Raw genomic sequence first — 17,190 nt, forward strand, 5'->3', positions numbered from 1 at the left:
GCAGTCCAGTTCTGACAGGACTAGCTGTATGTACTGAGACACAATCAGCTTTACATATTTTTCTAGCTGTATTTCTATTAATATCAGAAGGGAATGCCTCCTTCCTACCACTGTCATTTTTAAATGTTTTTTTCCCTTTGCCTTGGAGGAATTATAAAGATGTCATGAGGAGCTTGGTCAGCTGTATCAGAAATACAATGTTCATTTCTACTGTTGTTTTTGTTCTCTATAGCTTCCCATTGACCGGGGTGGAGGTGAAGGAAAGGCCATGTACATTGACACTGAGGGTACCTTTAGGCCAGAACGGCTGCTGGCAGTGGCTGAGAGGTAGGTTACTGGTTTAGATAAGAGAGACTATGGCTACACTTATCAATGTAGTGATTGCCAGGGTTAGTTTGGCCGAAGAATGTCTCTTCTATAACCCCACGTCCCAAAGTTGTATGTGTGGTTCAAAAGAATGACTTCCTTAGTAGAAAAAGGCATTCTTTTTTTTTTTTTTCTTCAGATGGAGTCTCGCTCTTGTCACCCAGGCTAGAGTGCGGTGGCGTGATCTCAGGTCACTGCAACCTCTGCCTCCCGGGTTCAAGCAACTCTCCCACCTCAGCCTTCCTAGTAGCTGGGATTACAGGCGCACACCACCACACCCAGCTAATTTTTTGTATTTTTAGTAGAGATGGGGTTTCACCATATTGGCCAGGCTGGTCTCAGACTCCTGACCTCAGGTGATCCACCTGCCTTGACTTCCCAAAGTGCTGGGATTACAGGTGTGAGCCACCGCACCCGGCCAGAAAAAGGCATTCTTTAGAGTTGCTGTCAGACTGGATTTAAAAAAAAAAAATCCAACTATATGTTTTCTTCCAGAGAAACCCTTTAGAAAGTAAAAGAATGGAGAAAGATATTGCATGCAAATAGTAACCATAAGAGACACTGCGTGGCTATACTAATATCAGACAAAGTACACTTTAAGGCAGACACATTGGCTGGGCGCTGTGGCTCACGCCTGTAATCCCAACACTTTGGGAGGCTGAAGCGGGTGGATCACGAGGTCAGGAGATCGAAACCATCCTGGCTAACACAGTGAAACCTCGTCTCTATTAAAAATACAAAAAGTTAGCCGGGTGTGTTGGTGGGTGCCTGTAGTCCCAGCTACTCGGGAGGCTGAGGCAGGAGAATGGCCTGAACCCGGGAGGCGGAGCTTGCAGTGAGCCGAGATCGCGCCACTGCACTCCAGCCTGGGCGACAGAGCAAGAATCCGTCTCAAAAAAAAAAGACAAACACATTATATACAAAGAGGAACATTTTATAATTAAAAGGTCAGTTTGTCAGGAAGATATAACAGTTGTAAAGATACACACACGCCTAACAACAAAACCCCAAAATAACATGAAACAAAAACTGAATTAAAGGGGAAAATAGACAACTCATCAATAATAGTAAGGGACCAGTTTTTCATTTTCATTAATGGATACAGGCTTCAATATTTCACTCTCAATAATGAATATAACATGTATCAGAGGCCCTGCTAAAGGGCATCTGTGAAAAACCTACAGGTAGCATCATACTAAATGGTGCTCTGTTACCCAGGCTGGAATGCAGTGGTGCTATTTCGGCTCACTGCAACTTCCACCTCTTGGGTTCAAGTGACTCTCCTGCCTCAGCCAAAAATTAGCCTGGCTAATTTTTGTATTTTTAGAAGAGACAGGGTTTCTCCATGTTGGCCAGGCTGGTCTCAAACCTGACCTCAAGTGATCTGCCTGCCTTGGCCTCCCAAAAGTGCTGGGATTACAGGTGTGAGCCACTGCACCCGGCCTTAATGGTGAAATTCTGAATGCTTTTCCCCCTAAAGTCAGTAACAAGGCAAGGATGCCCACTTTCACTATTTACATTCAGCAATGTACCAAAGATTATAGACAGTGTAGTCAGACAAGCAGATGAAATAAACGGCATCCAGATTGGAATGGAAGAAGGAAAACTATTTGCTAATGACATGGTGCCATATGTAGAAAATCCTAAGGAATCCATCCACAAGAAAAACTAGAACTAAATAACTGTTCAGCAAAGTTGCAGAATACAATATCAATATACGAAAATCCATTGTATTTGTATATACTAGACAATAACAATTCAAAAGTAAAACTTGAAAAAAAAACTTCATTCACAGTAGCAAGAAAAAGAATAAAATACTTAGGAATAAATTTAACAAAAGAAATGTAAGATTTGTACAGCAAAAACTCTGAAACATTACTGAGAAAAATTGAAGATTTACATAAAGAGAAGCATTCCACATCATGGATGGGAAAACTCAAGATTACTAAAATGGCATTCTTGGCCAGGTACTGTGGTGCACACCTGTAATCCCAACACTTTGGGAGGCCAAGGTGGGCGGATCACCTGAGGTCAGGAGTTCGAGACCAGTCTGGCCAGCATGGCAAAACCCTGTCTCTACTAAAAATACAAAAATTAGCCAGGCATGGTGGCACACTGCCTGTAGTCTGAGCTACTTGGGAGGGTAAGGAAGGAGAATCACTTGAACCAGGGAGGCAGAAGTTGCAGTGACCTGAGATCGCGCCACTGCACTCCAGCCTGGGTGACAAAGCGAGACTCTATCTCAAGAAAAGGCAGTTCTCCTCAGATTTTATCTATAGATTCAACCCAATCCTTATCAAAATTCCAGCAAGCTTTTTTTGCAGAAATTTACAAAGTAATCATAATATTTATGGAACATAACGTGGAAATGCAAAGGACCCAGAATAGCCGAAATGTCTGGAAAAAAAAGAAAATTTGAGGTCTTAGACTTTTTGGTTTAAATTCTTATTATAAAGCTACAATAACCAAGACAATATGGTGATGGCATATGGATAAATATGGAGAGTTCGGAAATGAAACCTTTATGGTCACTTCATTTTTGACAAAGGTAACAGGCAATTTTTTTAAAATTTAAAATTTTTTACAAATACACGTGGTCTCGCTGTCTTGCCCTGGCTGGTCTCGAACTCCTGGCCTCAGGTGATCATCCCTACTCAGCCTCCCAAAGTGTTAGGATTACAGATGTGAGCCACTAAACCTGGCTGACAAGGCAATTTAATGAGGGAAAAAATGGTCTTTTCAATAAACAGTGCTGATGTAGATGAATTTCCAAATGCAAAATAACTTTAGACCCTTACTATATACCACACATAAAAATTAAAATAGATAACAGTGTGGTCATTCCTCAAAAAATTAAACACAGAATGACCATGTGATCCAGCAGTTCCATTTCCAGCTATATAAAGAATTGAAAACAGGAACTCAGATACTTGGACAGCGATGTTCATAGCAGCATTACTCACAATAGCTTTGGAAATAACCCAATGTCCATTGACAAATGAATAGATAAAATGTACATACACACAATGAAATATCATTTTAGCCTTAAAAGGAAGAAAACACATTTTTTTTCTTAGACCTAGTCCTGCAGATAAAAAGGTAGGAAATTCTGACACATGCTATTAACATCCACTAACCTTCAGGGCATTATGCTAAGTGAAATAATTTAGTCACAAAAGGACAAAAACTGAGGCCAGGCGTGGTGGCTTATGCCTGTAATCCCAGCACTTTGGGAGGCCGAGGCAGGTGGATCACCTTAGGTCAGGAGTTTGAGACCAGCCTGGCCAACATGGTGAATCCCCGTCACTACTAAAAATACAAAAAATTAGCCAGGTGTGGTAGCACAGACCTGTAATCCCAGCTACTCTGGCGGCTGAGGCAGGAGAATCGCTTGAACCTGGGAGGTGGAGGTTGCAGTGTGCCGAGATCATGCCATTGCACTATAGCCTGGGCAACAAGAGCGAAACTCTGGCTCGGGGAAAAAAAAAAAAAAAAGGACAAAAACTGTATGATTCCACTAACATGTGGTACTTCAAAATCAAAGAGACAGAAAGTAGAATGGTGGTTTTCTGGGGGTAGGGAGACTGGGGAGTTGTTGTTTAATGGTACAGTTTCAGTTTGGGATGATGAAAAAGCTCTGGAGATGAATAGTGGTGATGGTTGCACAGCAGCATGAATGTCCTTAATGTGCCTGAACTGTATACTTTAAAATAGTTAAAATGCTCAATTTAATGTTATATGTGTACGTTTTACTATACTGTTTTTAGAAGGGTGATAGTCCTAAATAAGAGCCTAACTATAATTTTTCAGAGAGAACATGGGAGAAAATCTTAGTGACCTTGGGGTAGGCAAAGATTTATTAGCTACAACACCAAACACACAGTCCATGAAAGAATAAATTGATAATAGAGTTAGTTTTCACTTCATCAAAATTAAAAACTTCTGTGCTTCAAAGGACACTATGAAGCAAGTGAAAAGATAACCCAAAGAATGTGAGAAAATATTTGCAAATTACGTATCTGATAAATGTCTAGTATCTAGAATATATAAAGAACTATTATAACCCAACAATAAAAAGATAACCCAGTTGTTTAAATGGGCAAAGGATTTGAATAGACATCTCTCCAAAGAGGATATACAAATGGTTGATGAGCACATAAAAAGATGCTCAACATCATTAGTCATCAGGAAAATGCAAATTGAAACCATGGTGAGCTACCACTTCACACCCACTATGAAGGCTATAATAAAAAAGATGGTAACAAATACTGGGAGGATGTAGAGAAACTGGAACCCTCATATACTGCTGGTGAAAATATACAACGGTGGTCTCTTTGCAAAATAGGTGGCTTCTTAAAAAGTTAAATATAAATTTACCATATGATGCAGCAATTTCACTCTAGTTATATACCCCAAGAGAAATAAAAACATGTCTATACAAAGACTTGTATGATAATGTTTATAGTATCATTATAATAGCCCAAAATGTTCATCAGCTGGTAAATGAATAAACAAAATTTGTTTTCTCCATACAATGGGATACTCTTCAGCAATAAAAAAGAACTTAAGTACTGATACGTGTTAACAACATGGATGAGGTTTCAAATATGCTAAATGATAGAAGTTAAACACAAAAGACCACACAATGTATGATTCCATTTATATGAAATTTCCAGTAGGGGATAATCTAAGGGATAGAAGAATTGTGGTTAGTGGCGATAGGAATGAGGAATAACTGTGAATGAAGTTGAGAGATTTTTTAGGGGTGATGAAAATGCTCTAAAATTGGATTGTGTTCATGGTTATACAACTCTGCAAATTCACTAAAGCTCTCAATGAATTTTATACTTACAGCAGGTCATTTTTGAGGTATGTTAATTATACCTGAGTAAAGCTCGTGAAGAGTTTGTAAGTTTCTATATCAAATAAAGTTTTTAAATACATCCTCAAAACTGTTTCACTTCTTTTCCTTTGTCTAGGGTCAAATGTGGTAATTTAGTCCCTGCCACACATTTTATGGAAACCCAGTGATAAAACAATTTAATTGTCTGCTGAGATGTCAGACTCAAGTTGGAACCTGCCTAAATGAGGAGAATATTCTCTCTCGTTTTATAATCGAATTATCTTTCCCAGCTTATAATTTGAGAACTGCAACCTATTGAATGTATACCACTGAAGCATAAAATTAGGTTGGAATGGTAATTGCAGCTTTTTGTCTCTGCCTACAAAATTCCTATGAAGGAAAAGGAATTACTCTTTTGCAGTCTGATCTTAGTTTTCTGAGGATGTATATACTTAATTGTGTCTTCCCTCTCAAAATTGTTTTGGCAATCATGTACAGCATTCATACTTTTAAGTATACTGTTTTAGTAGTTTAAGGATTAGCTTTTGGACAGAGTCACTAAAACATTCTCTTGTAACATAAATAAGTATTCAGATAGGATAGATGACCTAGTAGAATATAGGCTATGAGGACAAGAACTTTGATTTGGTCACCTATTGGATGCCCAAGCAGTAGAGCAATGCATTCAGGATTTGTTAATGAATATTTTGCTGACAAAAAATTTTTTGTTGTTTGTTTTTTTAGAGACGGGTCTCACTCTGCCCCCACTAGAATGCAATGGTGCAATCATAGCTCACTGCAGCTTCTAACTCCAGGGCTCAAGCAGTCCCCCCTCCTCAGTGTAGCTGGGATTACAGGCACACACCACCAAGCCCAGCTAATTTTTTTATTTCTTTTTTTTTTTTTTTTTTTTTTTGAGACAGAGTCTCGCTCTGTCGCCCAGGCTGGAGTGCTGTGGTGCGATCTCGGCTCACGCAAGCTCCACCTCCCAGGTTCACGCCATTCTCCTGCCTCAACCTCCCAAGTAGCTGGGACTACAGGCTTCCGCCACCACACCCGGCTAATTTTTTTGTATTTTTTAATTTTAATTTTTTTTAATTTTTTTTAATTTTTTTTTTTTTTTTTTTTTGAGACAGAGTCTCGCTCTGTCGCCCAGGCCGGACTGCGGACTGCAGTGGCGCAATCTCGGCTCACTGCAAGCTCCGCTTCCCGGGTCCACGCCATTCTCCTGCCTCAGCCTCCCCAGTAGCTGGGACTACAGGCGCCCGCCACCGCGCCCGGCTAATTTTTTGTATTTTTAGTAGAGACGGGGTTTCACCTTGTTAGCCAGGATGGTCTCGATCTCCTGACCTCATGATCCACCCGCCTCGGCCTCCCAAAGTGCTGGGATTACAGGCGTGAGCCACCGTGCCTGGCCTATTTCTTATTTTTGTAGAGATGAGGTCTTGCTGTGTTGCCCAGGCTGGTCTCAAACTCTTGGCCTAGAGTGATTCTCCCTCCTCGGCCTCCCAAAGTGCTGAGATTACAGGCAGGCATAAGTGACTGTGCCTCGCTGAAAAATATGTTTACATAGAAATTTCATTAATTTGTTTTAATCAGGTCTCTTTATCAAGAAAAAAATTTTATAATTGAATTATATTTCTGAGAATGTCACAAGGCCTCCTTAAGCTAATAAAAATAGCCCTCTTTCATTCACAACAAAAGAGCCCTTACTGATTAATTTTTGCCGTGCCCTGTTGAAGAATATTAGCCCACATGCATGTTACTGTAGCTCTGGGGTTCCCAGAACATGGTCCCCAGAACAGCAGCATTATCATTACTTGAGAACTTGTTAGAAATGCAAATTGTCTGATGGGACTTCAGATCTACTGAATCAGAAACAATCAGATACTCGGGCTAGCAACCTGTTTTAACAAGCTCTCCAGGGCCAGACACGGTGGCTCACGCCTGTAATCCCAACACTTTGGGAGGCCAAGGGAGTGGATCACCTAAGGTCAGGAGTTTGAGACCAGCGTGGCAACATGGTGAAACCCTGCTCTACTAAAAATACAAAAACTAGCTGGGCATGTTAGCGGGCACCTGTAATCCCAGCTACTCGGGAGGCTGAGGCAGGAGAATCACTTGAACCCAGGAGGCGGAGGTTGCAGTGAGCCAGGATCGTGCCACTGTACTCCAGACTGGGCGACAGAGTGAGACTCCATCTCAAAAAAACAAAACAACAAAAAAAAATGCAAGCTCTCCAGGTAATCTGATGCTTGCTAAAGTTTGAAAACCATGACCACAATTGCTAGCCTTTCTTGAAAGTCTGAAGTACTGTGAAAGAATGACAGAACTCCTTTGAGATGAGCTTAGTTTTTCAAACTTATATGTTAAGAATAACCTGAGGTATTTGTTAAATATACAGATTACCAGGCTCTTCCCTGATAATTGTAATTCATTGAGTCTAGGTTAGGCCCAGGAATTTTTTTTTTTTTTTTTTGAGACGGAGTTTCACTCTTGTCTCCCAGGCTGCCAGGCTGGAGTACAGTGGCGTGATATTGGCTCACTGCAACCTCCGCCTCTCGGGTTCAAGCGATTCTCCTGCCTCAGCCTCCCAAGTACCTGGGATTACATGCGTGCACCACCACACCCATCTAATTTTTGTATTTTTTAAGTAGAGATGGGTTTTCGCCTTGTTGGCAAGGCTAGTCTCGAACTCCTGACCTCAAGTGATCCGCCTGCCTTGGCCTCCCAAGGTGCTGAGATTACAGGCATGAGTCACCACAGCCTGCCCAGGAATTTGTTTTCTAACGGGTGTTCCAGGTTATTATCTTTAAGGAAGTTCAAGAAACACTATGAAAGAGGATGCTATGGCCGGGCGCGGTGGCTCATGCCTGTAATCCCAGCACTTTGGGAGGCCGAGGCGGGTGGATCACAAGGTCAGGAGATCGAGACCATCCTGGCTAACATGGTGAAACCCCGTCTCTACTAAAAATAAAAAAATTAGCCAGGCGTGGTAGCGGGTGCCTGTAGTCCCAGCTACTCGGGAGGCTGAGGCAGGAGAATGGCGTGAACCTGGGAGGCGGAACTTGCAATGAGCCGAGATCGTGCCACTGCACTCCAGCCTGGGCGACAGAGTGAGACTCCGTCTCAAAAAAAAAAAAAAAAGAGGATGGTATTTCCAGCCAACTTGTCCCAAGCTGTGGGAATTCCATGTCCTGCTTCTGGAGCCTAAGCACAGAGGTTCCCATAGTTTTTTTTGTGAGTGCCGCTGAGAGAAAAGCTAGGATAACTCTTTATTCTGGTAAACCTTCTCTGTTTTTATAGCAAATAGATAATCTCCCTTTCTTTTTTAATTTTTAATTTTTTTTTAATTTTATAAATAGAGATGGGGTTTTGCCATGTTGCCCAGGCTGGTCTCAAACTCCTGAGCTCAAGCAATCCTCCCCACTCAGCCTCCCAGAGTGCTGGGATTACAAGCATGAGCCACCGTGCCCAGCCTTTTCTCCCTTTCTGATAGTAGATTATATCAGTGTATTTTTTTGTTCGTTTGTTTGTTTGTTTTTGAGACAGAGTCTTGCTCTGTCACCCAGGATGGAGTGCAGTGGTGCGATCTCGGCTCACTGCAACCTCTGCCTCCCGGTTTCAAGCGATTCTCCTGCCTCAGCCTCCCAAGTAGCTGAGAAGCAGGGATTACAGGCGCCTGCAACCAACCCGGCTACATTTTGTATTTTTAGTAGAGATGGTGTTTCACCATGTAGTCTAGGCTGGTCTCAAACTCCTGATCTCAAGTGATCTGCCCACATCAGCCTCCCAAATTGCTGGGATTACAGGTGTGAGCCACTGCGCCCAGCCATATCAGTGTTTCTTGAGGCAGAACTAGAAGACTTGTGCAGTAAAGTACTTACACCTGTTACATCTTTTTTTTTTCACCATACATTCATGATCTAAATAGAGAAAACTTATATCTCTTCATTCTTGTTTTATTTGGTCAGGATCGTAAGGTGTAACTCTATCCTAATGCCATCTGTTTATCCTCATGACAGAATCGTGAACCTAGAACATAATCATAGCACACTGGGTTTTATGTAAACATTCTCTTTTTTTTTTTTTTTTTGAGATGGAATCTCACTCTGTCACCCAGTCTGGTGTGCAATGGTATGATCTCGACTCACTGCAACTTCTGTCTCCCGGGTTCAAGCGATTCTTCTGCCTCAGCCTCCCAAGTAGCTGGGATTACAGGTGCCTGCCACCACGCCCGGCTAATTTTTGTATTTTTAGTAGAGATGGGGTTTTGCCATGTTGACCAGGCTGGTCTCCGACTCCTGACATCAGGTGATCCACCTGCCTCGGCATCCCAAAGTGCTAGGATTACAGGCGTGAGCCACCGCACCTGGCCCTCAAAGAATAGGTTTGATTTAGGTCAGGCGTGGTGGCTCACGCCTGTAGTCCCAGTATTTTGGGAGGCCAAGGTGGGCGGATTATGAGATCAGGAGGTCAAGACCAGCCTGATCAATATGGTGAAACCCTGTCTCTACTAAAAATAAAAATATTAGCTATGCATGGTGCTGCATAGCTCCATGCTACTTTGGAGGCTGAGGCAGGAGAATCGCGTGAACCCAGGAGGTGGAGGTTGCAATGAGATCACGCCGCTGCACTCCAGCCTGGGTGACAGAGCAAGACTCCGTCTCAAAGAAAAAAAAAAAAGAATGGATTTGATTTATCCCAAAGACTTGCCAGGTAGAGCTCCAGAGTAGTTGGGTGCTATCATCTCTCTGCTTATAGTTTGCCTGAACTTCTTAATAGAAAGGGAAATACATTCTTTGGTCCTGAAACTACTGTCAGTACCACTTCTTCCCTACCTATTCAGGTAATTTAAGTGTCAGAAACAAATTGCTCATCTGCCTGAGTTCTGTGTGCAGCCTAAAAATGTTCTCTCCTCTCTCATAGGTATGGTCTCTCTGGCAGTGATGTCCTGGATAATGTAGCATATGCTCGAGCGTTCAACACAGACCACCAGACCCAGCTCCTTTATCAAGCATCAGCCATGATGGTAGAATCTAGGTATGTGTTCAGTATAAGACACCAAATATGTTCTTAAGAGTCCTTCCCTGAATCTTGTAATGGCTATTTGGCCAGATTGATAGTAGTTTGAATTAGAAATGAGGAGGTTTAAGTATAATTCCTGTGTTGACACTCTTGCTTTGTAGTTTAGGTCAAGTCACTATTAAAAATGAAACCATAATCTACTTGAACTTGCTGGAAATCTTGTTAAACGGTGCCTCAGATGTTAGTACTGTGCAAATATTTTAATAAAACATCTATATACAGGCCGGGCGCGGTGGCTCAAGCCTGTAATCCCAGCACTTTGGGAGGCCAAGGCGGGTGGATCACAAGGTCAGGAGATCGAGAACATCCTGGCTAACACGGTGAATCCGTCTCTACTAAAAAAATACAAAAAAATTAGCTGGGTGTGGTGGCGGGCGCCTGTAGTCCCAGCTACTCCGGAGGCTGAAGCAGGAGAATGGAGTGAACCCGGGAGGCAGAGCTTGCAGTGAGCCAAGAATGCCCCACTGCACTCCAGCCTGGGCGACAGAGCTAGACTCCATCTCAAAAAAAAAAAAAAAAAAAAAAAAATCTGTATACAGGAAAAACTATGAATATGAGATTTTAGGGTGGTAAGGAAGGGACCAGAATCTGACACAGGCTAGAAATAGGCTTCAGAGAATCCTTGTTTCCTGTAGGTATGCACTGCTTATTGTAGACAGTGCCACCGCCCTTTACAGAACAGACTACTCGGGTCGAGGTGAGCTTTCAGCCAGGCAGATGCACTTGGCCAGGTTTCTGCGGATGCTTCTGCGACTCGCTGATGAGGTAAGTTGTGGGATAGGGACAGAGAATGCCTACTTTCAGTGGCTGTGAATTCCAGGAGCCTTGCTAGGAGGCTAAGACATCAGTGCCTGAGATCATCAAGCTCTTAGGAAGAAGAGAGACATTAGTTATTCGTTATTTTGTGGGGGAAAGTGGTGGCAGCATTAAGGCTTTTGGAGTGTCTATGGCCACAAAATTGACATTTATCCTTTCCCCATCAGTTTGGTGTAGCAGTGGTAATCACTAATCAGGTGGTAGCTCAAGTGGATGGAGCAGCGATGTTTGCTGCTGATCCCAAAAAACCTATTGGAGGAAATATCATCGCCCATGCATCAACAACCAGGTAAGGTGTTGATGGGATCAGTTCTTCTTTTCGGAATGTCATATTAACTGTGAAGACATGAAGATATAACATTTTCATTTAAGCCCTGTTAAAGCTACTGTTGTATAGACACTTAGGAACTCTTGCTAATCTAATTAACATGCTCTCGTTGGTATAGATGTTTTAGTTCATAAAAGAATTAAAAACCCACAAGTGTGGAAGAATGAATATGAGTAATTGATATGCCTCTCCCCTGTTATTTAAAAAATGTTTGGGCTGGGCACAGTGGCTCACACTGGTAATCCCAACACTTTGGGAGGCCAAGGTGATAGGATGGTTTGAGGCCAGGAATTCGACACTAGTAAGGGCAACAAAGTGAGGCCTCTGTCTCTACAAAAAAAAGTAGCTGGTGTGGTGGCGTGTGCCTGTAGTCTTAGCTACCCAGGAGACTGAGGCAGGAGGATCAGTTGAGCATAGGAATTCGAGGCTGTATTGAGCTATGATCACACATCACTGCACTCCAGCCTGGCAAAAGAGCAGGACACTGTCTTGAAAAAATTTTTTTTCTTTTTTTTTTTTTTTTTTTGAGATGGAGTCTCGCTGTGTCACCCAGGCTGGAGTGCAGTGGCACGATCTCGGCTCACTGCAAGCTCCGCCTCCCGGGTTCACACCATTCTCCTGCCTCAGCCTCCCGAATAGCTGGGACTACAGGCACCCGCCACCACACCTGGCTAATTTTTTTGTATTTTTAGTAGAGATGGGGTTTCACAGTGTTAGCCAGGATGGTCTCGATCTCCTGACCTCGTGATCTGCCCAACTCAGCCTCCCAAAGTGCTGGGATTACAGGCGTGAGCCACCATGCCCGGCCTAAATTTTTCTTTTTTTAATGTTTGTTTCAATATGGACAATCCACTGAGAGGGGCCAGGGCAAAAATGGATTCTGCCAGGTTGGAAATGCACTAAGGAAAACAGTACAGAAACATTCCCAGGGTCCTTCTAGGAAGAATATATGTCTAAAAAATTTTCAGCTCTGTTACAAAGTCAGGAACGGAATTGTTTAATTATAATAAATTGGTGCTTTGGTCTGTGTCTTTGGGTCAGATTGTATCTGAGGAAAGGAAGAGGGGAAACCAGAATCTGCAAAATCTACGACTCTCCCTGTCTTCCTGAAGCTGAAGCTATGTTCGCCATTAATGCAGATGGAGTGGGAGATGCCAAAGACTGAATCATTGGGTTTTTCCTCTGTTAAAAACCTTAAGTGCTGCAGCCTAATGAGAGTGCACTGCTCCCTGGGGTTCTCTACAGGCCTCTTCCTGTTGTGACTGCCAGGATAAAGCTTCCGGGAAAACAGCTATTATATCAGCTTTTCTGATGGTATAAACAGGAGACAGGTCAGTAGTCACAAACTGATCTAAAATGTTTATTCCTTCTGTAGTGTATTAATCTCTGTGTGTTTTCTTTGGTTTTGGAGGAGGGGTATGAAGTATCTTTGACATGGTGCCTTAGGAATGACTTGGGTTTAACAAGCTGTCTACTGGACAATCTTATGTTTCCAAGAGAACTAAAGCTGGAGAGACCTGACCCTTCTCTCACTTCTAAATTAATGGTAAAATAAAATGCCTCAGCTATGTAGCAAAGGGAATGGGTCTGCACAGATTCTTTTTTTCTGTCAGTAAAACTCTCAAGCAGGTTTTTAAGTTGTCTGTCTGAATGATCTTGTGTAAGGTTTTGGTTATGGAGTCTTGTGCCAAACCTACTAGGCCATTAGCCCTTCACCATCTACCTGCTTGGTCTTTCATTGCTAAGACTAACTCAAGATAATCCTAGAGTCTTAAAGCATTTCAGGCCAGTGTGGTGTCTTGCGCCTGTACTCCCAGCACTTTGGGAGGCCGAGGCAGGTGGATCGCTTGAGCCCAGGAGTTTTAAGTCCAGCTTGGCCAAGGTGGTGAAATCCCATCTCTACAAAAAATGCAGAACTTAATCTGGACACACTGTTACACGTGCCTGTAGTCCCAGCTACTCGATAGCCTGAGGTGGGAGAATCACTTAAGCCTGGAAGGTGGAAGTTGCAGTGAGTCGAGATTGCACTGCTGCATTCCAGCCAGGGTGACAGAGTGAGACCATGTTTCAAACAAGAAACATTTCAGAGGGTAAGTAAACAGATTTGATTGTGAGGCTTCTAATAAAGTAGTTATTAGTAGTGAATGTGCTGTTTATAGCAATTATTGCAGTGCAAGCTATTTCAAGACAGGGTTTCCATAATCTTTTTGGCACTGTATAGGGGTGATCAGTTTCTGTTGCTTCAAGATTTGAAACCAGAAAGGAAAGTCCCACTTGCAGATGATTGTGCTTAAAAGCTAATGGAAAAATAAAAGAAAGACATACCATGGGTTGCCTTGTGGCCCCCCTTTCCTTTTTTTTTTTTTTTTGTTTTTGAGATGGAGTTTCATTCTTGTTGCCCAGGCTGGAGTGCAATGGCGTGATCTCGGCTCACCACAACCTCCACCTCCTGGGTTCAAGCAATTCTCCAGCCTCAGCCTCCCAAGTAGCTGAGACAACAGGCGCCCGCCACCACGCCCTGCTGATTTTTGTATTTTTAATCGAGATGGGGTTTCACCATGTTGGCCAGACTGGTCTCGAACGCCTGATCTCAGTGATCTGCCGGCCTTGGCCTCCCAAAGTGTTGGGATTACAGGCACGAACCACCACACATAGCTCTACAATGCTTTGTTTTAAAAGCCGTTCTAGTCTTTTTTGAGACCGTCTCTCACTCTGTTGCCCAGGCTGGAGTGCAGTAGCACAACTCACTACAACCTTCACCTCCCAGGTTCAAGCAATTCTCCTGCCTCAGACTCCCGAGTAGCTGGGATTACAGGCACGTGCCACCACGCCTGACAAATTTTTTTATTTTCGGTAGAGAAGTTTTTCACTATTTTGACCAGGCTGATCTTGAACTCCTGACCTCAGGTAATCCGCCCACCTCGGCCTCCCAAAGTTCTGGGATCACAGGTGTGAGTACTTTGGGAGGTCGAGGTGGGTGGATCACCTGAGGTCAGGAATTCGAGACCAGCCTCAACATGGAGAAACCCCGTCTTTACTAAAAATACAAAATTAGCTGGGCATGGTGGTGCATTCCTGTAATCCCAGCTACTGGAGAGGCTGAGGCAGGAGAATCGCTTGAACCTGGGAGGCGGAGGGTGCGGTGAGCCGAGATTGCGCCATTGCACTCCAGCCTGGGCAACAAGAGCGAAACTCCGTCTCTAAATAAATAAATAAATAAATAAATCAGGGACTGGGCCAGGTGCGGTGGCTCACATCTGTAATCCCAATGCTTAGGGAGGCCAAAGTGGGTAGACCACTTGAATCAGGAGTTTGAGGTCAGCCTGGGCAACATGGTGAAACCCTGTACAAAAAATTTAGAAATTAAAAAATTATTTGGGCATGGTGGGACGCACTTGTAGTCCCTAGCTACTCCGGTGGCTGAGGTGGGAGGATCCCTTGAGGCCGGGAGGTAGCAGCTGCAGTGAGCCCTGATCACACCACTGCACTGCAGCATGGGTGAGAAAGCAAGGCCCTGTCTCAAAAAAAATCAGATTGAAAAGTAGCATTGTCAATGTCCCTGGAAGCCAGATGCCAAATGGAGTTTATGGGACTCTTTTTTTCCCCTTTACCTCTTTTCACTAGTTAGGACTTCCAATCCAGATCTTACCCAAAGTGCTCAGTGACCCACCCAAAACGTTTTCCTGTTTGTTACATTAGTTTATTGTATATTTAAGGTATACAACATGATGTTATGAGATATTAATACATATAAGGAGGCCAGGCATGGTGGCTCATGCCTATAATCCCAGCACTTTGGGGGGCCAAGGTGGGCGGATCACCTGAGGTCAGGAGTTTGAGAACAGCATGGCCAACATGGCGAAACCCCATCTCTACTAAAAATACAAAACTGGCCAGGCGTGGTGGCTCACGCCTGTAATCCCAGCACTTTGGGAGGCCGAGGCGGGCAGATCACCTGAGGTCAGGAGTTTGAGACCAGCCTGACCAACATGTAGAAACCCCATCTCTACTAAAATTACAAAGTTAGCCGGGCGTGGTTGCACATGCCTGTAATCCCAGTTACTCAGGAGGTTGAGGCAGGAGAATTGCCTGAACCCCGGGGGTGGAGGTTGCAGTGAGCCGAGATTGTGCCATTGCACTCCAGCCTGGGCGACAGGAGCGAAAGAAACTTTGTCTCAAAAAATATGTATATACAAAACTTAGCTGTGTGTGGTGGCACACACCTGTAATCCTAGCTACTTGGGAGGCTAAGGCAGAAGAATCTCTTGAACCCAGGAGACGGAGGTTGCAGCAAGCCCAGATCGCACCACTGTACTCCAGCCTGGGTACAGAACGAGACTCCATCTCAAAAAAAAAAACAAAACATTATAATTAAATGGTCTTAAGTGTCCTATGACACTGATTTCCTTGCCAGGAAGAACAGTTTTCAGCCTGGTCTGGCTCAGGTACCTTTTCCTCTGAATGCTCGTGTTATTGGTGGCTGGGCCAAGCCCTGTTTGTTTTCTGTACAGAATAGTCTGTTCCTAAAGATTAAAAAAAAACCTTTAAAACCTCTTATTCACACCTTAATCTTTTGGTGACAGGTCTCACATGAGCTGGCTAGGAAAAAAAAAAAAAAAAACCGCTACAGCCTTGCTTGAAATTTCCTCTCAGTGCCACTGTGCAGGATGCCATCCAGAGCTTCCTTAAAGGTATTCGGGGATATGAGGGATGTGGGTGACAGAAATACCAGGGTAACCTTGTTTTTCCTTGAGGACATTATTGAGACCCTTGGTGGGAGGGGTTTCTGGTAAGGGGCAATTTTGTGTTTGCCTGTTCTTTGGGAATATCACCTGGAGATAGATGGATTCCCAGACCCACCAAATCTAGGTTTTAGACCAAAAAAGAATGTTTTATTATTAGAATTGAGTATATCTCAGGTCCTCTTTCATTACTACAACACAAAATAAATCTGGGGGCCAGGAACGGTGGCTCACACCTGTAATCCCAGCACTTTGGGAGGCTGAGGCAGGTGGATTGCCTGAGATCAGGAGTTCCAGACCAGTCTGGCCAACATGGTGAAACCCCGTCTCTACTAAAAATACAAAAAAAATTAGCTGGGCGTGGTGATATGCCCCTGTAATCCCAGCTACTTGGGAGGCTGAGGCAGGGGAATTGCTTGAATCAAGGAGGTGGAGGTTGCAATGAGCCAAGATCGCGCCACTGCACTCCAGCCTGGGTGACAAAGCGAGACTCCAGCAAAAAAAAAAAAAATCTGGGTTGGTATAATAAAGACACAGTGACATTCTAGATTAAGGGGTTGGTTCTTATATGAAAGCATCTCAATCTTTTTTTTGAGACAGAGGTTTGCTCTTGTTGCCCAGGCTAGAGCGCAAGGGTGTGATCTCAGCTCACTGCAACCCCTGCCTCCCAGGCTCAAGTGATTCTCTTGCTGTAGCCTCTCTAGTAGCTGAGATTACAGGCGTGCGCCACCATACCGAGCTAATTTTTTCTGTCTGTATTTTTAGTAGAGATGGGGGTTTCACCATGTTGGCCAGGCTGGTCTCAAACCCTTGGCCTCAAGTGATCCACCCGCCTTGGCCTCCCAGAGTGCTAGGATTACAAGCAACAAGCATGAGCTACCACGCTCGGCCTATGCATCTCAGTCTTAAATTTTCTTCTAGGTGGATTTAGGGGTTTGTGCTCGTGGCCCTAAAAATGAACATGAGAAAGGCAGGGAGTACCTGCTTAGTTGCAATAGGCCTTGTTT

The 17,190-nt window shown here is 43.6% G+C and overlaps 1 protein-coding gene across 10 annotated transcripts in view; it reads left to right on the forward strand.

Annotated features, from left to right (window-relative positions):
• Window positions 1-13,768, forward strand: part of RAD51 (RAD51 recombinase) — a 37,608-nt gene extending 23,840 nt beyond the window's left edge. For 8 of the 10 annotated variants that reach the window (XM_011521857.3, NM_133487.4, NM_002875.5 and 5 more), the window contains 5 exons: window positions 233-327; window positions 10,139-10,252; window positions 10,933-11,062; window positions 11,281-11,402; window positions 12,483-13,768. In XM_011521857.3, the coding sequence (XP_011520159.2) occupies window positions 233-327; window positions 10,139-10,252; window positions 10,933-11,062; window positions 11,281-11,402; window positions 12,483-12,606 (585 nt within the window). In that variant the 3' untranslated portion in view covers window positions 12,607-13,768. The remainder of the gene's footprint in view (window positions 1-232; window positions 328-10,138; window positions 10,253-10,932; window positions 11,063-11,280; window positions 11,403-12,482) is intronic. The other 2 variants (XM_011521861.3, NM_001164270.2) reach the window with 1 other exon arrangement.

Source organism: Homo sapiens, chromosome 15 (genome assembly GCF_000001405.40).
Source record: "Homo sapiens chromosome 15, GRCh38.p14 Primary Assembly".
NCBI classification, from domain to species: domain Eukaryota; kingdom Metazoa; phylum Chordata; class Mammalia; order Primates; family Hominidae; genus Homo; species Homo sapiens.